At 49.2% G+C, this 22,947-nt stretch overlaps 1 protein-coding gene across 1 annotated transcript in view, besides 9 other annotated features; it reads right to left on the reverse strand.

Moving 5' to 3' along the window:
• Positions 6-573: an enhancer, noted in NCBI's record as "H3K4me1 hESC enhancer chr8:28200887-28201454 (GRCh37/hg19 assembly coordinates)". NCBI's record gives its function as "activates a minimal SCP1, AML or CMV promoter by ChIP-STARR-seq in primed H9 embryonic stem cells {active_cell/tissue: H9 hESC(primed)}" and the evidence as "EXISTENCE:reporter gene assay evidence [ECO:0000049][PMID:30033119]".
• The window catches only part of ZNF395 (zinc finger protein 395), a 40,871-nt gene continuing 20,149 nt past the window's right edge, over positions 2,226-22,947 (reverse strand). Inside the window, exons 2-10 of the mRNA NM_018660.3 lie at positions 17,521-17,818; positions 16,228-16,460; positions 13,306-13,415; positions 9,809-10,044; positions 9,209-9,309; positions 8,131-8,443; positions 6,700-6,792; positions 5,761-5,864; positions 2,226-5,466 (exon numbers count right to left, since the gene is read on the reverse strand). Coding sequence (NP_061130.1) covers positions 5,355-5,466; positions 5,761-5,864; positions 6,700-6,792; positions 8,131-8,443; positions 9,209-9,309; positions 9,809-10,044; positions 13,306-13,415; positions 16,228-16,460; positions 17,521-17,760 — 1,542 coding nt within the window. The 5' untranslated portion in view covers positions 17,761-17,818 and the 3' untranslated portion in view covers positions 2,226-5,354. The remainder of the gene's footprint in view (positions 5,467-5,760; positions 5,865-6,699; positions 6,793-8,130; positions 8,444-9,208; positions 9,310-9,808; positions 10,045-13,305; positions 13,416-16,227; positions 16,461-17,520; positions 17,819-22,947) is intronic.
• Positions 2,549-3,049: an enhancer, noted in NCBI's record as "H3K4me1 hESC enhancer chr8:28203430-28203930 (GRCh37/hg19 assembly coordinates)". NCBI's record gives its function as "activates a minimal SCP1, AML or CMV promoter by ChIP-STARR-seq in naive H9 embryonic stem cells {active_cell/tissue: H9 hESC(naive)}" and the evidence as "EXISTENCE:reporter gene assay evidence [ECO:0000049][PMID:30033119]".
• Positions 4,938-5,497: an enhancer, noted in NCBI's record as "H3K27ac-H3K4me1 hESC enhancer chr8:28205819-28206378 (GRCh37/hg19 assembly coordinates)". NCBI's record gives its function as "activates a minimal SCP1, AML or CMV promoter by ChIP-STARR-seq in naive H9 embryonic stem cells {active_cell/tissue: H9 hESC(naive)}" and the evidence as "EXISTENCE:reporter gene assay evidence [ECO:0000049][PMID:30033119]".
• Positions 5,498-6,057: an enhancer, noted in NCBI's record as "H3K27ac-H3K4me1 hESC enhancer chr8:28206379-28206938 (GRCh37/hg19 assembly coordinates)". NCBI's record gives its function as "activates a minimal SCP1, AML or CMV promoter by ChIP-STARR-seq in naive H9 embryonic stem cells {active_cell/tissue: H9 hESC(naive)}" and the evidence as "EXISTENCE:reporter gene assay evidence [ECO:0000049][PMID:30033119]".
• Positions 15,877-16,377: an enhancer, noted in NCBI's record as "H3K4me1 hESC enhancer chr8:28216758-28217258 (GRCh37/hg19 assembly coordinates)". NCBI's record gives its function as "activates a minimal SCP1, AML or CMV promoter by ChIP-STARR-seq in naive H9 embryonic stem cells {active_cell/tissue: H9 hESC(naive)}" and the evidence as "EXISTENCE:reporter gene assay evidence [ECO:0000049][PMID:30033119]".
• Positions 16,378-16,878: an enhancer, noted in NCBI's record as "H3K4me1 hESC enhancer chr8:28217259-28217759 (GRCh37/hg19 assembly coordinates)". NCBI's record gives its function as "activates a minimal SCP1, AML or CMV promoter by ChIP-STARR-seq in naive H9 embryonic stem cells {active_cell/tissue: H9 hESC(naive)}" and the evidence as "EXISTENCE:reporter gene assay evidence [ECO:0000049][PMID:30033119]".
• Positions 20,249-20,438: an enhancer, noted in NCBI's record as "active region_27167". NCBI's record gives its function as "activates an Ori minimal core promoter by ATAC-STARR-seq in GM12878 lymphoblastoid cells {active_cell/tissue: GM12878}" and the evidence as "EXISTENCE:reporter gene assay evidence [ECO:0000049][PMID:35858748]".
• Positions 22,065-22,565: an enhancer, noted in NCBI's record as "H3K4me1 hESC enhancer chr8:28222946-28223446 (GRCh37/hg19 assembly coordinates)". NCBI's record gives its function as "activates a minimal SCP1, AML or CMV promoter by ChIP-STARR-seq in naive H9 embryonic stem cells {active_cell/tissue: H9 hESC(naive)}" and the evidence as "EXISTENCE:reporter gene assay evidence [ECO:0000049][PMID:30033119]".
• Positions 22,585-22,914: an enhancer, noted in NCBI's record as "active region_27168". NCBI's record gives its function as "activates an Ori minimal core promoter by ATAC-STARR-seq in GM12878 lymphoblastoid cells {active_cell/tissue: GM12878}" and the evidence as "EXISTENCE:reporter gene assay evidence [ECO:0000049][PMID:35858748]".

Genomic DNA, 22,947 nt, shown 5'->3' on the forward strand with positions numbered 1-22,947 from the left:
TGTTTTTAAGTGAAGTGACAGAAGCAGACTCTGCACACACACAACCAGCGCTGCCGCTCCCGGGAGGCAGAGGTAAAAAGCGCATGGCACTGCTGTGTAGAAAGGAGGATAGGCAGGCTGGGCTCAGTGGCTCACGCCTATAATCCCAGCACTTTGGGAGGCTGAGGCGGGTGGATCATGAGGTCAGGGGTTCAAGACCAGCCTGGCCAACATGGTGAAACCCTGTCTCTTCTAAAGATATAAAAAATTAGCCAGGCGTGGTGGCACGTGCCTGTAATCCCAGCTACACAGGAGGCTGAGACAGGAGAATCACTTGAACTCGGGAGGCAGAGGTTGCAGTGAGCCAAGATTGTGCCATTGCACTCCAGCCTGGGAGACAGAGCAAGACTCAGTCTCAAAAAAAAAAGAGAGAATGGGCAAGGTGCACCCCGACGGCACAGTGCCCAGATCCGAGTGCAACAGGTGGGGGAATGAATGCACATGGCTGTGTGAACGGACAGGGTGGAGAGAGGGCAGGGGCTCTCCAAACCCCTGCGTGCATCAGCACCGCAGAGAGGCAGGCTGCTGGCCCCACCCCCAGTTTCAGATGGTAGAAATCTGCCTTTTTACCAAGCTCCAGGTGGTGCAGATCCTGCTGGTTTGGGTCCAATGGACTGGGACACACAGCAAGGAGCAGGGCGGAGAGAAACCTGCTGATGCCACTTTTATCTCCAGCTTCCCACGTTAGGGTGTGTCACTGCCAGAGTCCAGCCGAGAAACACGAGGCAAACCAAACCGAGTCTGTCGGGGAGAGTTAACCGTCTACACGAATGGGCAGGGTTACAGAAGATCAGCAAGGGATGGAAAGGTGCTCTGTTGGGAGCCGGAGAGCCCTGGTAGGGGTAAGGGAGTTCCTGGACCCACAAGGACTCTAGCTCTCCATAGCTTTCAGTAGAGAAATACAGCCATTTACTCACACACTGTGGGAGCCAGGATTCAATACCCCCACTTTCAAACTCCAGCCTGATGTCTGTCAGCCAAATCCAACCAGAAGCTGGAAAGTTGGGGGGTCGATCCACTGATGCAGCTGCGAAGGTAGGGGTAGGGGGTGAGCTACAGATGGAGAAGGCAGGTAGCTAACTTGGAGGGGGACTTGGTAAACGCAGTAGAACAGGTAATTCTATTCGAGGTGTTCTTAGAGGGATGAGCTGGAACAAGGACACAGAGAAGGGGAGAAGGAAGTCCCTGACTGCACCCCCAAGATATTAAAAAAAAGGCCAAAAGGAGGGAAAAAGAAACTGCTTTGTGGGCTGCTGGGCGTGGCTGACTCAGGCCATAATGAAGTGCCTGGGCATGACACCCCCACTGGCCAGCAATGTGAAGGGTCCCTGCAACCCGCCCCAAGAGACACTTCACAATCCCCAAAGCTCCTGCCTCTTTGCCTTCCCTATTCCCCAGAGCCTCTTCCTATAGCTCCTGCTTCTCCCCACCAGATGACTCAGTGCGGAAAAGATCCTGTGGGGCCTTCCACCTGCCCCACCACCACCTCGAACTCTTATTTTAAATATACCTTAAACGTTTAAACACATTTCCACAACTTCCTCAAGCAAGCCTGGTTTATTTGACTTGGTCTTCTTGGAATCTATCATTGCTTCACTAAGTGGTTCTTAAAATTCAGCAACTGAAATTGCACAAACCAGCCCCTGGGTGGAATGACGCCTTCTGCTTCCAACAGCCTTCCCACCTAGGCCAGCTCTGCCAGCCACTTGGGCCATCGCAGCACCTGGAACTGATGTCTGTATGGAGCAGACCATGTTCAGAAGCCATTTGATAGGTAGCGTGTGACTTTATTTTCTCCCATGTCACTTGCTTGCTCCTCAAAAGACTCAGGAATGCAGTCAAGAATATGCTCCCCTTTGTCAAGAAAAGCAGCAGAAAATGCTGCCTGGAGTGCTGTTATTTCCCAGTTTATAACCTTGAGCAAGTTATTGAACCTCTGTGCCTCACTCTTCTCATCTGCAAAATGGGAACAATAACAGCACTCTCTCATAGGGTTATTTATAATAGGGAACCCATGTATACACTTGGCCTAGTCATTGGGAAGCGTTACCTACTGTTAGTATAAGTGAATCAACGTCATACTTTGCTACAGTGTGATATGCTACCATTTGTGTAACACCAAGGACAAGGACAGTGATAATCTTATTTGTTGCAAGGGAAGGGGCAAAGGACAGGCACACATTAAATCAGACAAGGTACCATTTTATTCCTTATAAAATATATTTCATATTGTTGCTGTAAAAACATTACATTTCACATTTTTAAAAAATTTTTTAACAGTAAAAATAATACTTGGAAGACAGCTGAGGAAAAAGGCGCCAATAAGACAAACTCACAGATGGGATTTATCTCCCTCTTGCTTTTTTTTTTTTTGCCCCTGGTAAAAGTCAGAACCTGGGATGACCAGAAAGTAACAGGACAGATTTCTCCCAGCAAATCAGTCTCCACAACCAAATGAATATTGTTCTCCAAGGAGTCAAGCTATAGACTCACAATGACAACGTGGCCATGGCTCAAAACACTCTCTGAAATTACAAAATTGCTTTCTGAGCCAATTTAAAAGTCACATGATTGAATCCAAGCTATTTTACTTTAAATGGTCCTTTTGCTTTGCACCTGAGACCTCGCTTGGCCACAGACGTCATTCGCTGGACTCCCTGGGCACTAAATGAGTGTCTAGCATCCTTAAGGCTGCTCAACACACAGCCCCAGACTCTGAATATGATTCCAAGAAATATTCTGAAAAAAGTCACATCGCTGGAATAAACAGTTTCCCAAGATAACTGCTTTGAAAACCAGTCCCGTTAGTTTCTAAAAGCCCACCTACGGCACCTTCCTTCCATCAGAGTCTGCTGCCCGGGTGGGCTGGGAAGGAGGGAGATACAAAGAAGAAAGTAGGCATGATCACTGGGTCGGTTCCCAAGCCACCCTCACCCTCCAAGAAGGCATGAATGGAACAACCCCGAGAACAGAGCACGTGTGAAGAACCAACACGACAGGCACGGGATGGCAGCACGGGTGGAAGGGAGGCAAGGAGGCCGCCAGTGCCAAGGAGGAGAGGGGGCACAAGCGCAGGCAGGGAAGGTGGCACCAAAACCTAGTAAGAACAAAGCAAAACCACCGTGGTTTCCACACTGCTCTCTCCCTTTATTCCTCTCTTTCCTGCCCTGTATACCAACGGCATAAGAAGCCTGCACAAAGAGAAAAATCCGTATATCCAGTTATATCTACACGGTCCAAACTGGGGGCGGGGGGAATTCAAACAGCTTTCTAAAGACGAGACGGCAGTGAAAACTCTGAGGGAGAGGGGAAGGGGAGGCCCTCCTGAGCGAAGTTCCCATGTGTCAAGAACGTGCCCTCCCCTCCCCATGAGGACCTGAAGCTGGGGGTTGTCTTGGGAAGTGAGGGGGGTTGGGAAACACCATCAGCAGCTGCCAGCTCTTAATTCTCAAGGAGATCGAAGGGACAGGAAGGAGAGCCCTGCGCCACCTCAGGCTAGCCTGGCTTTGAGCTTTACCAAGAGACAGAATTCCACATACATTTTTTTTTTTTTACTAAGTTATAAAAAAAAAAACCCCATCACCAAAGACACCTGTGCACAAGTGTCTGTCCCTTCTGTCACCAACCTAGGGCACTACACCCTTCCCAACATCATGACCCTACTGCCAGGTCTACAGATTTTGTAACACTCAAAGTGTCCTGCATTAAAAAGCACGTGTCTATTTCCTACGTGAAGGGGCCAAGGGAGCCCTGGTGGCCCAAATATCTTCACCCAGGACTGGGAGGGCGGCCTCGATGACAACCAAGGGGTGGATGCTGACACTCCATCCCAGGACAGGTGGCTGGGTAGGATTCCCTGAGCCCCTGACAGCTGGGACATAGGGCCAGGACTTGTACCCGAGGCAGCTGGGCAGTGGGCAGTCACATTCCAGTAGGCCCTGAGGAATCCCCAAATAAGTCACGCTGGGAGGAAAGTGAGACACCAAAACAGAAACATGCCCTGCCATCCGGGCGTGGCTCACTCTGTCTTCGCGCAGGGCTGGTTGGCATGGTGCTACACTCCCGAGACCTCCCTCCTTCTCCCCAAGAACAGCTCTGCTTATCGACATGCACGCAGCCCAGGCTCCCCTAGATCCCTGGAGGCTCCAGAAACACCAAGGGCCAAAACGCCAGCAGCCACTAACCCAAACCCACGTCTTCCTCCTGTCATTTCCTCATCCTGACGCTCACGGGTGCAAGGACTCTCCTTGGCCTTCCTCATCCTGCTTTCAGGCAGCAAACAGAAATGGGGAAATCCCTGGTGGGGCCAGGAGACAGAAAGGAACCTCCAGAACCTCCCTGGGTCTCTCCCGGCCACCCAAATAAAAGAAAACTTTAATCAGTAAAGGCTTCTGAATACATCGTAAAAGAAAACAAAGCATTTCTGAGGCGTCCTTTCAATAACCGGAGGAAGGCGGCGTCAGGAGGGTGCTTCCTCGGGTCAGAGCAGAGAGTTTCCAGACGCTCAAACCCTCCAGGAGTTCCTCGAGGAAAGAGGAGAGAATGATCAAGGTAGTGTTTAACTGCCACATTCCAAAAAGTGAATTCTGATCAGCCTTTTGGCTCAGCTATTTGGCGACAGTCTTTTAAAAAACCTCTTTCTCTGGGCTTTAAGAAGAAGCCATTTAATATTTGTTGGGGTGCAACCCAATGTCTGAGGGAACCCAGATTTAAGTCGTCACCAAGAAAGGGATTTCCTTTGACTTCCATGCAGGATGCTCAGACAGGGAACAGGAGGTACCCTCCGAGAAGGGCAAACCCCTCTGCCCCACGGCCAGGCAGTCCTGCACTCTGAGTCACCCATCAGCCAGAAACTCTTTTTTTTTTTTTTTTTTTTTTTTTTTAAGAAAAGTAAATTCATCTTGCTCACAGTCCTTTCTGGAAGAGTTTAGAAAGCAAAGAATTCACCGACTCAGCAGGAAGCAGAACGAGCTGTTCCTTCTTTTGACACGCACAAGCTAATCCCCTAGAGAGTGGGGATGTGGGAAACGGAGGGTAATTAATTCTTTGGTCACTGGTTCACTGCTGAATAGCCTTGGTCAGTTTTGGCTCTCTCCTATTTTAGGGGGAAAAATATTTTTGTTTCTTTTTTTTAAAAAATAAAATGTTCGCACAATGGGAGAAAATTGCTTTAAGTGTTACACCTTAGCCAACAGAGCCCAAACTCCGTGTTTCCGTTCTTTCTCTTTCGGTTTCTGCTGAGGGCTGGTGACACACTGGCCTCTTGTCAGTGGCTGCCGGCAGGGCCAGGAACAGAGTAGAACCTGCAGCACAGCTCAGTCCAGAAAGCGCTGGCAGGCCTTCTTCCACCGGCAGGCCGTGCACCACTGGTCCCGGTGCTCGATGCCATACACCTTGCGGCACTTCTTAGCCTCCCCTCGGGCTTTCCTGCAGAAAGAGAGGAATGCAAATCGAGCCCCACACAGGTGGTGGGCCCAGGAGAGTGGCCAAGTGGGGCTGGGAGAACAAGCAGAGGCCAAAGGGGCAGCTCCCGGCAAAAGTCACCAGGACCAGGGGCCAGAGGCTCTGAGGACCAAACAGTCATCCCATCTGGTGCATCCGCCATCTGGGCTCCTCTCTGGGGACTAACCCTGGTGACTTCATCTGGGTGGGGTCGGAGTCCACGCCACTGGAGACAGGGCACAGAAACCAGAAGGCAGGGGACGACAGCGGACATCTCACCTGGCACCACTCTGGGCCCGGGGTGGAGAAGTGACGATCAGATGAGATTTCATCGCAGGTGCTGGCTGCTGGGGCTCGCTGAAGCTTAGCGACCGGCTCCGGACCTGGGCGTGGGGAGAGGGGCTGTGAGCACAGGGACATTCAGGAAAGGTGAGGGAGCTATCCTAAAAGACAGGCAGCCACCCGTCCCCAGCTCCTGGTGCAGAAGGCCTCGCACCTTCTCAGGGAGAACACTCCAGCCGAGGGGAGCTCTTGGCAGGAGAGTGAGGAAGGAGCAGGCCTTCATGCCACACTCAGGACCCAGCCAAGGACAAGGACAGGGGAGCCACTGGACCTGGCCCCCTCTGAGGCTCTCCTGCAGGGGACTTAGACGGAGCCGCTATGCCTGGAAGCCTCACACTGCCTCAGTGGCATCACTGGCAATCTGATTTACAGTGTGACACCGCCCTGCAGGAGATAACTCAAGACCAGCGCCTGCTAGGTAGAGTTCAAAATGACTTCCCGCTTACTTGAGTTGGGGGTCCACCTATGGCCCTTGTCTCCAGTGGCCTTGAGATTTCTGACCCAGCCCACACAGCCTCCACATTCTCCCCCTTCCTCTCCTCAGCATTAAAATCCTAAAAACACCCACGGGCACTAGGAGCTGATGGGGCAACTGACCCCAGCCTCGCCTGGTGATTTTCTTGGCAAGAAACCTGCTTGCTCTGGACATCCTCTACAAGCGCCTCCTTCCACCTCCGCGAGGGGCTATGGCCAGATGGGGAGTGCCAGGGAGGGGGCAGCACAAGGACATCTTCAACACGTTTGGGGGCTGAAAGCAAGATGGCCACACCGACCTGTGGCCACGTGCCCCGTGCCCAAGGGATGGCCTCCAGCCCTGGGATGTGTGGGAGAGCCCTCGGCCATACGAGGCCCCAGCCGTGCTGCCCGCACACTCACCGGAGAGAGAGAGCAGGCGGCGGAGGGGGCAGCAGCCCAGCTGACACTGGTGTAGATGTGTGGTGAGACTGGGATCTGGAAGGATGGCAGAGCCTGCGGAAGACGAGGGTGTCAGCCCGGATTCTAGCTCAGGAAGTGTTCAGAGTCTGCCCACAATCCCCACAGCCTCATGACAGCAGCAGAAGGTGCATCTCTGCGTAAGTGCAATGACCAGAAAGAGCTGGGACACACTCGGCTTTCTCGAGGACAACACTGGAGTATCATCCAATGCCTTGCAGTAGTCTCCTTATTGCGAGGCTCCAATCTCATCCTGGAACCCTTCCCTCAGCGCTGGTCTACGTGCTAGCCTCATGACTTAATCACCGCAGAAGATTTAACTTCTCAACTGGATCACCTACCAAGAACATGCCATGGCACGTGCCAAAAGAGGCCCCAAGCCTTCTGCGTCTAGGGGGCATGGCTGGGATAAGATATGGGATCTTCCAGCAACTGCTTGAGAGTAGTAGTGTGCTCATGGGTATCCAGGTTCAGGGCTATTTGTGAAAACACCAGCTACATGTCTGGGCCCCATAGGTCAGCCACAGCTCCAAGTGGGCCAAACATGAAATCGCTAAGCGGCCACTCATTCTAACAAGGAGGAGGGCTGGCCCATTTCATAAAGCTTTCTCACTGAAAGCAATACCTTTTAATAACTAATTTGCAAATTGGCCCACAGACTGATAAAATAGGCACAAAAGAATTTTAAGAAATATCAGCACACAGCAAGCTGCATGTTCCTTGAGTACCTACTACATGCAGCGAAGACCATCCTAAATATCACCCTCTGTGATAAGTTTCTCATCCACAAGGGCAAAATAGGTTGGTCCCTCTGGTACCTACAACACCTTCTCATGCCTCTAGTAATTAGTACTTTGACTGGTTATTATAATTAACCATAGTTACATATTCATTTCTCTCTCAATCTGAACCATGCCCTCCACAAGGGCAGGGACTAAGCCTTCTTCAACCTGAAAGTCTTACTTAGTCCAATTCTTGGCCCGCAGGAAGTATTCAAAACATGCGTGCTGGACTGTCTGTCCACAGAACACAATTCTAGGACCTAGACGTCACGTGGGAAGCCCAACTACACGACTCCATCCTCTCTTATAAGCAGAGGTGTGACAATTCCCCCACCCAAATCCATCGCCCAGTTACTTAGGGATTTAGCTAGATTCCTAGTAACCACTCATGACAGCTGCCAATGTAGATAACTCCAGGAATTCCCACATTTATTGAGCAGTGAATTCGGTTTCCTTTTGTTTCCTTGTAGAAGAGATTAGCAATTTGGCCAAAGGGCTCAGCCTTCCATCAGGGTGGTCGGTAGCCTGTAATCAAGCTGGCCCGTGATGAGTCAGCTATGAGCCTGAGCCTCCAGCGAGCCCCGCCCCATACCTGGTATGCATGATCTGCCTGAATGTGCCAGAAGGACCCAGGAGCTGACTTGCTGAGAGCCCCTGAGGGCAGGGAGGACTCCGGGCCAGGATGTTCTGGGCCGGAGGACTGGGCTTTGTGCAGAGGTGGTGGAAGAGCAGACAGAGGCAGGCCAGTCATGCTGGGGGTGGGAGCTGGCTCGGAGGTGGGAGTCCCAGGGACTGGGGTGCCTGCGGCAGCAGCAGCAGCAGCAGCAGCAGATTCCTCCTTCAGCTGCACCTCTGTGTAGTAGAAATCCTCCTCCCGCTTGAACTGATCAGAGTCCACTGTGTCCCTGTGTGGGAGGGAGATGCGGTATAATCAGGGGCACCCTGCCCCCTTCAAACCCAGCGGGGACCGCGGTAGGGAGGGAAGTGATTGCTTGAGGCCACCCAGCAAGCCAGGGACGGAGCCCAAGAGAACACCCAGGTGCCTCGCTCCTGACGGGTGTCACCAGGATTATGTGTTGCACATCAACGGGAATTATTTTTCCTGGCACCTAAGGCTCATTCTCTCCCGGAACATGTGCCAACCTCTCCTCTGGCAGGAGGCATCCCACACTGAGCACGACCACGAGCCCTCTCTGGGCCCCACCTGCCTGCAGTCACGCTTTCTCCCCCAGGGCCATGAGTCAGCTCCTACCACTAGCAGCCTGCAAACTCGCTCTGCACAGAACACGGCGGAGGCACCAGGGTGGGGCTAGCGGAGACCCACTCCCAAGGAAGAGTGGGTGGTGCAGTGCTTGGCCACTAAACATCTTGGAAACGGGGTCTCACCAGCAACTAAACCAAATGACCCCGTTTCTACCCAGAACTAAAACATCTTGCTTCCTGCAATGAGGCAAGAAGACACATCCCCAAGATGGACAGAGCTCCCTTCCCATCAACAGCAACAATGTTCACCAGGATGTCTTTCTCAGGGGGCCAGGAAGAGACACCAGGGGGTGTTCCCAGCAAGCCACGTTCCTGAAAGCACTGTGGGCTGTGGGTCACAGGGACTCGGCAGGGTGGAGGGACACCCACACGCGACCCTAGGCTAGAGGCCCTGGGCTCGCACATACCCCAGATGGAGGGCTTTGACGTGTCGTTTGATGCCCACAATGGAGCGCAGAACTTTGCCACAGTTTGGCCACAGGCACTTGTACATCACCTTCACAGAGTTCTACAGGAAAGGAAGACAGGGTGAGTGGATATGTCTTTCTCCTTATCCCTCGCTCAACCTTACCCAGTGGGGACTCAAACTGGCTGCTGTCCCCGGCCTGACCCAACAAAAACCTCCAGGAAAGGGGTTCTCTGGGACCAGAGAAACTTACAACCAGGGGCTAGAAAGCCCCAATCTAAGAGATGGTCCTAGTGGCCAACAGCAGTGCTCCATGCTGTGGCTAAGACCCTACTGGAGGCCTCTCCCACGCAGACCTCTGCAGAAACACAGGAAAGAAGGCAGGGATTGGGGTGGAGGCTAAAACAGAAGAGGCTTTAAATAGGAGAAGGAGAATCCTGGGAATATCACCAGGTAACAGAAGCAGCAATAAAAAACCGAAATGGGAGTGAACCCAAGACTATCTAGGGCCTGCAGGGTCCCCTGCTCTCCACGGCTGGCTGTCCCCACACAGACATCATCCGCTCCAGCCTGGGCTCCCACTCACACCACAATCACGTACCTTTCTTTTTCGTGGAGCTGGTTCGTCCAGCAGGAAAGGGTCAGGATCGGTCTCAAAGCCATGATCAGTTTGGGGAGAACCAAAAGCATCCCCCAAATACTTGGGGCTGGCCTGGGGGTGGGGGGGCGAGGGGGTGGAGACACCACTGCTCCCACTCCAGTGACCGCTGGTAGTGCTGCTGCCGCTGTCCGAGATGTCACCACTCTCCTTCCATGGGTCGCAGGCCGCACGGGAAGCTGGCCAGATGAAGAAAAGATGAGAGGACGCTCACGGGCGTGTCCCTGGGCAAACTCTCCCTTCTGAGCTTCGGTAAACATGGAGAGGAGTTCATTCATGGCAGCAATTTCTCTTGGTAGAACTGCTCTACCCTCGCAGACATTTCCTACCATAGCCACCTGGTCATCACTGACCAACAGATACACACTGCAAGTTTGCTTTGTATAGGATTCATACAAAGAGAAACCTAACTGAAATTTCTCTTTTTAAACAAAAATTTTTTTTTAGAGATGGGGTCTTGCTATGTTGCCCAGGCCGGTCTCAAACTCCTATCCTCAAGCGATCCTCTGGCCTCAGCCTCCCAAAGTGCTGCCTGTTTCTCACTTTATACATTAAATAAAGGGGGGATGGGGAGGGGGAAGGGCAAAGCCTCTGCAGCCTCCAGGCCTGGTTGAGAACAGGCACACCCAGAGTGTTGGGTACCACCCAGAGCATTTTCCTACAGCTGACGCCAACTTAAAGGTCTTCTTGACCAGCTTTCCTGAAAAATGCTCTTCAATCATCTAAACCCAGGCCAGTCCATAGAAACCTGTGGGTGGAACAAACAACTCAGCCTTTGCAACTCTCAGGAGGGTGCACAACATTTCCCAGTGCTAGCTGCAGCCCAGGTGGAACCTGCTTTAATCAAGAAGTAACATGTTTGGAGGAGGAAAGACAAGCTCTGCGAGCAATTCTGGTCATCGCAAGGTGGCAGGGGGCTTTCGTGCCTGACATGGCCCTGAAGCAGCTGCTGGGCTCCTGAATGCCTCTGAGCAGGAGGACGGGCATCAGCAGACATGGAGAATCTTCCGTTTTTAAACAGCACATCTGCAGGCTGCATGGGCCCAACCCAGACTCTCACTCCTTGGCCAAAAATCCAGGTGAATTTATAATATAGAAGAATCTGAAATTCTGATATGTGGAAATACCAAGAGAGAGGGAAAAAAGCTACCTGTCCTCAAAAGCCCCAACTCCCAACAGGGGCGTTCCACAGAGCCCCCTAACCCTGGATTCCAAGGTCTACTAGCACATCCCTTGTGGCCAGGATAAAATCCTGCTGCCTTTCTCTCCTCTTGCTCATAGTCCAGACTCCTTCAATGCTAATCAGGGATCTACCCGGCACAGGCTCCCATCTTTCCATGTTTCTAGTCCAGGCTCTCCTTACATCTCACATCCTAGAAGCAGCCCACCCAAAAAGAATGAGATGGAGGAAGAACTCTTCCCTGCCCAGATACTGTTGTCATGTCTCACAGCTATCACTGTCCCTTCCTGGGAACCAAGAGATTACTACATGTACATGTGTGCTTAAAAAAGGGTACACCTTCAGGGCAGAAGACAAGAATCATTAAACAGGCCAACAGGTGAAAGACCCACGCACATCCACTGATAGGAAAACGATCAGGGAGAGAAGGGCAGTGAGCAGAATACTACATGGCAACATCTAGGATGCTCAGGACTCCGGGACAAAGAGCAGGTCAAGCAGCAGGCACACCCTACAAATGCGGTAGCCCTTCCCTATAGGAACCACTCACAATGGCTCAAATGCATGAAATCTGCATGGCAGATTTTGACTGGCACACAAAGAAAGCAAAACATAAAGCAAAACGTTATCTATAAGTTATAAGTTAATGTGTAAGTTGTGACTCCATCTTTGATCATAAGTTTTTCTAGGACACAGGCAATAAATACACTTTCTATACCATGAAAATAAAGTACTGCTCTACAAATGCACGGCACTCAGAGCTTACAAGTGAACTTTTAAGAAATATTTATAATCCTGTTTTCTATACATAGACATGCACACACACATGCCATCCTAACCACACAGAAACCAAAGGGACTATGTGGCATTTGTGCAAATAGTATCTACGACTCTCTTAGTCAAGGTTTTGGTTGTTGTATAGACCACACTTTGCAGAATACTTCAAGATAATTAGGCCAAGGAAGCCTTATATTTCCACTGACTTCAGCTATAAGATAAAAAATATACTGTCATCAAAAAAAATTTAATAGACAATTTTTTTTTTTTTTTTACAAAGGGACTTAAAATTGTCAGGATGATGGCATATCATCAGTGAGATGCTTCTACGTTGATGTGCACTTGTGTATGCATGTATTATACATACCCTCATGATGGGAACTGGAGTCAATAATTTTCTTTTCTTTCTTTAGGACACTTTCCTAGATCTTTCCACTGTTAACCCAACCATCCAGATCTCCTAAACTCTCCTGAGAACTTAGAAATTAACTCCTTTCCTCTTCCCTATTTGGCTGCGCTAATAGAGCAGGCATGCAATACTAAGCTTCACAGCTAGGTGTCCTCATAATGCAATGACTTCCTTTGGCAGCCTAGTCATTGACAGCTGACTTTGAGTCAAGAAAGTAAGTTTTCTCTCTCCTTTATGTTTAATTTCTATTTAGGGAGATTCCTTATGAGGGATACTTATGAAGGCCACTTTCCTCCTGCTATGTGCTCAGAGCTAACTCCATATTTTCCTGTAAGTTTATAAGTAGCTTGCAATTCAGTTAGGTGTCCACCAATGAAGAAGTTCTTCCCTGGGAGTAGGGTAGGCCAGCCCTGCCATGAATTTCCCAAAAAACTTCAGGTTCACTACCAGTCTTGCCAAACTACTGACAAATACTCAGCAACCCTTTTTTCCCTCATATTATTGATAAAGTATTTTGGGGTTGCAACTATAGCAATTTTGTTTTAATAAATTTGCCTTGAAGTTGAATCACTGGTTTTTATTAAGCAATTAGATTTACTTTAGAATTTAGCTCATTTATTCCGGGTCCTTGTCCCATAGGCCCACACTAATTTATGAGGCTGAATTAGGCACGTGGAATGAGGGCATGAATTTTCTGAGGCCACTAGGAGACCATTTAGCATATTGCTACTTTGTGAACTAAATATTCCTCTATTGGCCTCATTCAGACCCCACCAAAGTGCTGGGCTCAGCCACTCCCATTGAAGAACTTACTCCACTGGCCACTGCAGCTCAGTCCCATGCTCAACCATCTTCACAATGTACCAGGAAACTCCTCCCCAGGTGAGGAAACTGAGGAAAAAGAACGGAAGCATCTAACTCCATGGCATGCAGCCGGTCAGAGGTGCCAGTGGGAGGTGTCCCTGGACATTCTATTGCCAGGCTGGTGACATAGGCAACTAGCTGCTCTGCACAGAGGATGTTTGTCGTGGGCCTCTACCATGCCCAGAACCCAGCTGGGCCCCGCTTGCTCACCAGAGAAGTTGGCCTCGGTCCCGGGAGGACTCTGTACAACAGGGCTGCAGGACAGGGACGTCAGCACCATGGCCGCCATCATCTCATCCATTTCCACTGCGTCCGACTTCCTGGATTCACACGGATGAGTGGGAAATGTTACTTCCTGGCATGGCGGGCCCATGGTCCTTGCAAAACGAGACACCACTTCTGGCTGGTTTCACACAATCATCTTACACTTCTGGACTGTCCCCTCCAAGTGCCCCCAACTCCAATCAGCCAGTGTGTGCTCAGATCATATAAACTCAGTGAAACATGAAGGTCTCCCCTTCTTCCTGAGCAGTACCCATTCTGAGTGATGCTTCTAATATTAGGCAGCCCCGGTATAAGCCGCTGGGTCTCATCCCACTGTGACGCCCTGAGACAGCCCCATTCTCCCATGACTTTGCTGCTGAACTCTGCAGCTTAAAAAAAGGAGAATTTTATTTAGGGGAAAGAGGATAGACTCGAAATGAACACGAGGACAAAAGATGCCCACTGGAATTCAAAAGCACAACAATTACCTCCTTTCCTTGTCCCATATTTAAATTTAAGAGGGAACAATTATACACTAACCACCTTCTCCCACCCCTCCCCCAAGAAAAATGGTAAGGCATTCTGACAGCTTCTGAATGTCAACAGAACCTACTACCCAAGCCAATGTGCAAATAAACCAGAAGCACTAAAATAAATCTCCCAATGCAAGTGTCCATGCTTTATACAGCAGAGTTCTATAAAATGTTACACATAATTTTTTAAAAATCCGTATATCACTACATTATTTGGAAGTAAAACTAGAGCTGTCTACAAGTTAATGCTAAAGTATTAGTAAAAGTTAGTCTGAAATAAACTTCTAAGTGGTCTGTTTCAAAAAGCTGTCTTAATTTATTCCTTACAATTCAGGTCCGCCAAAATATGACTTGGGTTTGAAGCAGCTAAACCAAGACTATTAAAACGTGAAACACATTAGCACCTCTGTTTTTGTATGATCTTTGAATTTTCATTTCCATAGAACAGAAAAATAAATTCTTTACCTGCATTCCACTGAATACACTATCACAAATATTGCTGCTCTAATTTGGTTTCAAAATACTGGGTCTGCTGTGTTTTTTCGCACTCATAGACAAACACAGAGAGGTGGGATAGGGTGTGACTGCTTGCACATCTTGTATATAAGACAATTTCAGTCGACAGATTTTCCTTTTAAATCTTAAAAGATCAATGTACATACAGCATATAACATAGAAATTAGGATATATATTCTTAGAAAAAAGTTGTATCACAAAATTCTAAAGCAAAATACATTCTTCATTCACCAGTGGTTCTGAATATCTAAGCCAGGGGTAAGCATGCTGCAGGCTGTGGACCCAATGTAGCCTGCTGCTTGTTTCTGTAGGGTTTCAAGCTAAGAATGGTTTTACATTTTTAAATGGTTTTGTTTTGTGGGTTTTTTTCTTTTTTTTCTTTTTTTTTTTTTTTTTTTTTGAGATGCAGTCTCACTCTGTCACCCAGGTTGGCTTCAAGCAGTTCTCATACCACAGCCTCCCAAGTAGCTGGGATTACAGGCATGCGCCACCATGCCCAGCTAATTTTTCTATTTTCAGTAGAGACGGGGTTTCATCATGTTGGCCAGGCTGGTCTCAAACTCCTGACCTCACGTGATCCACCCACCTTCGTCTCCCAAAGGGCTGGGATTACAGGCGTGAGCCACCACACTCAGCCTGTTTGTTTGTTTTTTGGTTTGGTTTGGTTTGGTTTTTGTTTTTAGAGCAGAGTCTTGCTCTGTCTCCCAGGCTGGAGTGCAGTGGTGCCATCATTGCTCACTGAAGCCTCAACCACCTGGACTCCAGCAATCCTCCTGCCTCAGCTTCCTAAGTAGCTGGGACTACAGGCAAAAGCCACCATACCTGACTAATTTTTTTATTTTTTTGTAGAGTCAAAGTTTCCCTATGTTGCCCAGGCTGGTCTCAAACTCCCAGCCTCAAGCAATCTTCCCAAAGTGGTGGAGTTACAGGTGTGAGCCACTGCGCCTGGCCTAAATAGTTTTAAAAATTAAAAGAAGGATATAATTTCTTGACATGTGACACATGGAAAGTATATAAAACTAAAATTTGAGGGTCCATGAATGAGGTTTTATTGGAGGACGGCCATGCCCATTTGTTTCTGCATCACCCCTGGCTGTTTGGACACCACAGCAGAGCTGAGCAGTGGGGACAGAGACTGTGTAGTCCATCAAGCCTAAATTATTTACTCTTTGGCCCATTCAAAACAAGTTTGTTGACTCTCGATTTAAGCCAGTTCTTCCCTGTCTCTTATCATAAACTATGACCTGATTCAGTTTAAGCATGAGAGGGGAAAAAATAGCCCTATGCCCAACCAAAGGTACATTGCCCATAATAGAGCTATGGAAAAGAAAAGACGCCACTCGGCCAGGCATGGTGGCTCAAACCTGTAATCCCAGCACGTTGGGAGGCCAAGGCAGGTGGATCACCAGAGGTCGGGAGTTTGAGACCAGCCTGACCAATAAATATGGTGAAACCCCATCTCTACCAAAAAATACAAAAATTAGCCAGGCGTGGTGGTGCACGCCTGTAATCCCAGTTACTCGGGAGGCTGAAGTGGAAGAATCGCGTGAACACAGGAGGCAGAGGTTGCAGTGAGCCGAGATCATGCCACTGAACTCCAGCCTAGGTGAGAGAGTGAGACTCCGTCTCAAAAAAAGAAAGAAAAGATGCCACTCTGGTTTTCTTAAAAGATTCCCCTTTTCTGTGTCCCATTTGTCCCAATATCTTGGCACCCAGATGCCAATGACACCACATTTCTTCCCCACCACAACACAGCCCACACCCTTACACCACACTACCCACGTGACTTTTAAAACCCAGTTTCTTCTCCCACACAAACCTCTTTGGGACATCGATGTTCCTGGAGACGGGCCTGTAGGCCAGGGCCTGGGCTCCGGGCTCCAGGGGTGGTGCCTGGGGACAGGGGCCCTGCAGCTCTGCCAGCCACACCTCCTCCACCCTGCAGCAGACCTGCAGCTTCTGCTCCAGCAGCCAGACGGTCACCTGACCCTCCATCCAGCTGTGCTGCTCCACCAGTCCTGTGCACTCTTGACCCCCGTACCACACATAAACCTGTGGGAAGAGGGACAGCAGTTAGTGGTCAGCCCTGGATGGGTCTCGCCCTGAAGTTCTCATGCACCCCACGTCCCAGGAGCCAGGATCTGCCTGCCACAAACCATGTTCTCTGCCTCACTCATCTTTTATTCAAGCAGATGTTCCCAGGTACTCGCTTCCCACCTGAGCACCCACACAGGCCCAATTCCTCCCAAGACAGATCCTTATCAGCTCTCTAGACTGGCAGACAGCAAACATGTCAGTTTCTGGGACTTTCTCTGAATCTAGAATCTGTGCTCATCATCCTGCCTTCCTTGACCCGGATGCACTGCCTGTCTGCTGGTGCCCAACTGCCACTCTGAATTGCTCATTATCCTGCACTCAAAGGATGCTGAGTCTACCTGGGGACAAGGTGGCAGGGGTGCAGAGACAGGCCAACCTCTCAACAGGGGGACCTGGAAGTTGGCAGGCCACCTTCTCTCACAGGCAGGGAGGCCTGGAGGCACAAGCCTTGGCAGGGAGCCAGAGGTAGAGTCCTCATTTAGGAGGCCTTGAGAGGGCAACAGAAGAGAACCCCAGGCACCTGGACCTCATAACATCAGACCCAGGGCCCTGGCACAGGGGCAGGGATGCTGGAAAAGGAAATCCACACCGAATCCAACTACACAAACATCTCTGAGTCTTAAAAGTGTCTAAAGGGAATTCAAAGATGCAATGTTCTCTGATTCTCATAAGCCTGAGATGCCTTCCTTTGCTAAAGTTGCAAACTGAGACAGATTAAGAGAAACGTGGTTATGGTCATCCTTCAAACTGAGGTTTTGAGCAAGCCAAAGCCCACAGCGTCTGATGCTAGGTCTTGCCACCTTCTACAGACAACACTGTGGTAGAGAAGCCCTGGGTCTACTAACAATGTCATATTCTCTTGGGCGATCTGCTGCCCAGGTGCCCTGTGGCTGGAGGGCAAAGGTCTGCACTCAAAACGGTGCCCAGAGAGTTTCCGGCCTGTCACTAGGGCACCCCAGCCCCCTACCCCAAGACTGGCAAGACGGGACACCTGTCCATGTTGGGATCAACCTACCTTCTGCCCAGGCTGAAAGGCCACCTGCTGAAGGCCCGAGGTGCTGGGAGCCTTAAGGACTTCCTTGGGCTGCTCCTGGCAGGGGGTGTCATCAGAGGTGGTGAAAGGCTGGGGAGCGGCCCCTTCTAGCAGTGGCTCCGAGGGTGGGGCAGCCGAGGGCCCCTCCGAGGCACTGGGTCCCAACACCCGGGCTCCCAGGAGGGACCGCTTTCCAAGGCGTCGGGACAGGACACTCGCCATGCTGCTGCCTCTCCTCTCCTGCGGAGGCGAAGGGGACACTGAAGCCTCTGCCCATCACCTGGGGGAATCAGGAAGCTTTCAGGAGGGAGCCCCACACAGCAGGAGCCAGGAAGGGTCTACTAAAATAAGTGAACCCTTTAAAGTCAACTTCTAGCATCCTTCCCTTTTACAAAAGTGATATCCATTCCTAGTAGGACAATCGGAAAAGCAAACCACTGAGGAATCTGCCTCCCAGGGAGGCCCACTCTTCCTATGCAGCAGGCCAGGCTTCCTTCTGTGCATGTATTTACACTTTTATTTCTGTAAAAATGGGATTGTTGTTTGGTAAACTGTATTTTTACTTAACTGTGTAAGTTTTACTATATCATTCAATATTATTTTATAAAAACATGTTTAGAAGCCACTCAGCATTTTCCTAGGTGGATGCACCATTCCTATTCTAATCTCTTATTATTTATTGTACCCAAAGGCTGCACCCAATGGTCTGCTGTCTAAACTTCTCTGCCTGCAGTGAGCATCCTCTGAGCTAAACCTCAGCACACACACATCAACCACGGCTTCCGTAGGGCAACTTCCAGGATACAATATTGCTCGGTCAAAGCCTGAGGACGTCTGTCTGATGCACATAGATTCTCAAGCTCAGCAGGCTCAAAGCTGCAAAGAGCCACAGAAACTTGCCGAGCTTGGCCGGGCGTGGTGGCTCATGCCTGTAATCCCAACACTTTGGGAGGCTGAGATAGATGGATCACTTGAGGTCGGGAGTTCAAGACCAGCCTGGCCAACGTCATGAAACCCTGTCTCTACTAAAAATACAAAATTAGCCAGGCATGGTGGCACATGCCTGTAATCCCAGCTACTCGGGATGCTGAGACAGGAGAATTGCTTGAACCCAGGAGGCGGGAGGCTGCAGTGAGCCAAAATCACACCACTGCACTCCAGCCTGGACAACACAACAAGACTCAGACTCAAAAAAAAAAAAAAGAAAGAAAAAAGAAATGAACCAGGTTCCTCTCATCTTACACTTGAAGACACTGATGTTGAGCACAAGTGACTTGTTCAGATGGCAAAGGTAGTTGGTGCAAGAATCTGAACAGGCCTCTCGAAGTGGGTCCCTACCAGGGGACCAGCTGACCTGCAGTGCTCCCAGGCCTGACCCGGCTGGCAGAAGGGGACGAGTCAGACCCAGTGCTTTGCAAATTCAGGTTGCCCTCCTCCTACAGAGCACACGTGGCTCCTCAGTTCCTAATCTCTGCTGTTCCAGTCCTCTGTTCCCTACTATTCGCTCATTTGCTTATTATGTGCAAAGCACATCCCAGGTGCCGTGGGGTCACAGCAGGTATAAAACACCAGGGTTTCCAGGGACCTCAGCATCAATGCTGACTACCCCACCCCCAGTGCCTATGGGGCTAATTCCACTCAGGTGTGCCCCTCCCATCCCACCCACCTGAAGAAGACACCTGTGGCACAGCCCTTAGCTCAAGCTATCTTTGAACAGCTGCATAAGCCTTCTTTCCTTTTCACCCTTGTCCAGAAGCCCCCCAGGCTCTCTTTCTGTGGGTACCACACTATCTCCACACCTCCCAAATCCTAGCCTCTTTCCAAATCATTCCAGCAAGGTATGTTCGCAAACATCTCCATAGTAACAAAACCAAAATGGCAAAAGAATTGTAAAGAATAATAATAGATTGGCAAATATTGAGTAAAGGGGCAAAATGCTGGTTTTCATGAGCATTTTATGCAGAAACTCAAGGTTAGAATCTACTGGCATAGTATCTCCACCATGAATTTTCCAGAAAGCAAATAAAATAATATAAGGAAAAGGTTGGAGTCACAGCACGCAGACAGAAATTCCTAGTTAGGTATCTGGTAACTACATCCAATAACACTCTCGCTGAAAGCTTCACTGTAACAATAAAAAGGGAGACAAATGTAAAGAGTAGATTCTTTGCCACTATAAAGAAAAAAATGTATACCTAAGCTAAATTGGTTGTTTTTTTTTTGTTTGGGTTTTTTTTTTTGTTTTTTAAGATGGAGTCTCACTTTGTTGCCCAGGCTGGAGTGCAGTGGCGTGATCTCAGCTCACTGCAACCTCTGCCTCCTGGGTTCAAGCAATTCTCCTACCTCAGCCTCCCAAGTAGCTGGAACCACAGGTGTGCGCTACCACGCCTGGCTAATATTTTGTATTTTAGTAGAGACAGGTTTTCATCATGTTGCCCAGGGTGGTCTCAAACTCCTGAGCTCAGGCCATCTGCCTGCCTCAGCAGGCAGGCAGATGCTGGGATTACAGGCATGAGGCACCGTGCCTGGCCTTAAACTGTTTTTTAAAACACTGTCACCTACATACCTTCGTCTTTGGAGCCTCAGGCTAAAATGGAGCACCTCTAACTCTCAGTTCAATTTCACTGGGCTGATAGGATCCAGAGGTGAAGTCGCAATGCCATGTAGAGACATGAGATGGCAGCATCAACCCAGAGAAAGAAACTGCACCACTTTTCTTGGCCAAAAAACAAAACAAAACAAAACAAAACTAATGGCCTCCCCACGTTCTAGAGCAGGAAGTTTGGGGTTTCTACCACTGAAAATGAAGAAAGGGTAGTATTTCCCAAATTCCTGGGCTCCCAGTCTTCAGACGGCGCCTGAAATGTTTGGCCAACAAACTCGGTCGATGTTTTTTGTAAGCCTTATTCTTTTTTTTAATTTAAAGACTGCTTTCTACTGCCTATTTTGTTTGTGCCTGCAACCTTCCAGGCCTGCCGGATTCGCATGGAGCTGGTGAACCTGCCACTTCTGACTGGAGCCCTCCTGTCCCCTTTCTCCTTTAACTGGCCAGAATTCCACACCAAAATACATTTTCTCATTGGCTTTATTTATAGTACTCCCAAATCTTAATTTTTAAAAGCAGAAGAGAAAGAAGGAAGGGAAACTGTCTTTATTAAGTGCCTAAGAGGTACTAGCTTTCATAAATTGTATCTAATTTAATCCTCAAAAGGATCTGAGATGAACCAATGGTCTTCTATTTCTGATGAGGTGACAACCTCAGAGAGGTCAGGATGCCAAAGCTGCACAACTAGGAACTGCAGCCTTGAGTATGAACTCACGTCTGTCTGGTGTCAGAGGTCACAATCCTGCCATGATTCTAGTAGGTGTGGGATCTCTCAAAATAAAACACTCAATTAAGTTGATTTTCATCAACTTGGTGTTTTTTTCCCTATGTTAGTGAACCTTGATGGGAAAAATAGCTCCTGGACAGGTGCAGTGGCTCACGCCTGTAATCCCAAACACTTTGGGAGGCCAAGGCAGGCAGATCACTTGAGGTCGGGAGGTTCAAGACCAGCCTGGCTAACATGGTGAAACCCTATCTCTACTAAAAATATCAAAAATTAGCCAGGTGTGGTGGCGTGCACTTGTAAGCGCAGCTACTTGGGAGGCTGAAGCACAAGAATCGCTTGAACCCGGGAGGCAGAGGTTGCAGTGAGCTGAGATCGCACCACTGCAGTCCAGCCTGGGGGATAGAGTGAGACTCCGTCTCAAAAAAAAAAAAAAAAAAAAAGAATCACTTGAACCCAGGAGGCAGAGGTTGCAGTGAGCCAAGATCACACCACTGCACTCCAGCCTGGGAGACAGGCGGAGATTCCATCTCAAAAAGATAAAAAGAAAAAATAGCTCCTGATCTAAAAGTCTACACATCCATTTTCTCACGTACTTTCATTCCTTGAAAAAATCTCTTCTCCACTTGGATCTTGGCCTCTTACCTACAGGATAAAGGTCAACGCTTTAATCTGACCCTGTTAAGCAGCCCAAGCCACTGTTAATCATTTAGCAGTTCAGGTTTGGGGAAGACCTTTATACACATATTGCCCTCTGGCAGGGCACGCAAAGGGATAATGGAATCAACCCAAAAAGTCAGGGAAAACTTTAGCCAAGTTTATACTGGGGATTAATAGGATGGAAGTGGGAGAAATACAAATCTAGACTAATCCAGGCTGGGCAGCATCACCAGGCATCACTCGATGCCTCGCCTGTGTTAATCAGCACACTCATGACATTTACAGATGCAACTCGATAGACAGCACAAGTAACCAAGGGTCTTTGGGGACTCAGAGCGAATGACAGCATCAGCAAAGGTCTGCCAACAGGTGGGTCAAGGAGCAAGGTTAACTCTGGGCCGCCCGTGACTTTTCAGGACCTCCTGCTGCCTCATAATCACTCCGGGGGTCCTGCCCACCTGGTGCACTTCCACCATTCCAGCGGTGGCCTCCTTCCAACCTCTCTCCTCCAGAATCTCCACTTCATTCACTCCTCTGGTAAGTTCTTTCTTGGGAGCTATCAATGGTCCCTATAAACCAGCCATCCCCTAGTTTGCCATATGGTTCTGGAGCAGCCAAGAGAAATCAAGAAACACCTATTTCCGGGTAACAATAACAGTAGTTCAACACACAGCCAAATCCCACTTTATGATTTTACATTCTCCTCTTATGGAATTCCCTGACTGAAACAAACTCGTGCTGAAGGCTTCTCAGGAAAGTTTTAAGGGGATACCAAGCCCTCTTGTGTTCCTCACTCCCTACTGCCGTCACCAACAGGAGGGGTTGGCTACCCTAGATAACATCTTTCAGTCCATGTCCAAAAGGAGTTAGTTCTTTTCTGGGCTCAGCAAACACATTCTGATGTGCTAATAGCCCTTAATGAGGACATCTGCCATCAGTTAAGGAACTGGAACAGGCAGAACAGTAAAACAAACTCTCTCTGTGGTTCGGGGTTGCAAACTGCTATTTGTCATGTAACTGTTGCTGGACAACCACATGTCTCAGCACACGTAGGCACGCCCCCACACTTGTGTGCGTGCACACACACACGCACGGTGGCTGTGCTCTCCTACCACCCAGGGACACTGCAGCGAGCTATGATATCACCTAGCAGCACTTCCAGAACACAAGTCATAAGTCAAAGTGATTCACTGCACAACTCGTGGGGTTTATTTTAACTTAAGAAGGGTGAAGTTTGGAGTAAGACTCCTATTTGCAAAAGCGTGGGTGCTTGCTACTTCTCTAATGAATAATTTATAGGTCAACTGAGGGATATAAACCCTCCTGCCAAGAGCTTCAGTTCTCTGCTAAACTCAGCTCTCTGTATATTTTATTATCTCCACCGGGTATCACTGCAGGAACAACAGTTTAAGTTTTTAGG

The sequence above is a fragment of the Homo sapiens genome, chromosome 8 (assembly GCF_000001405.40).
Source record: "Homo sapiens chromosome 8, GRCh38.p14 Primary Assembly".
Lineage (NCBI taxonomy): Eukaryota > Metazoa > Chordata > Mammalia > Primates > Hominidae > Homo > Homo sapiens.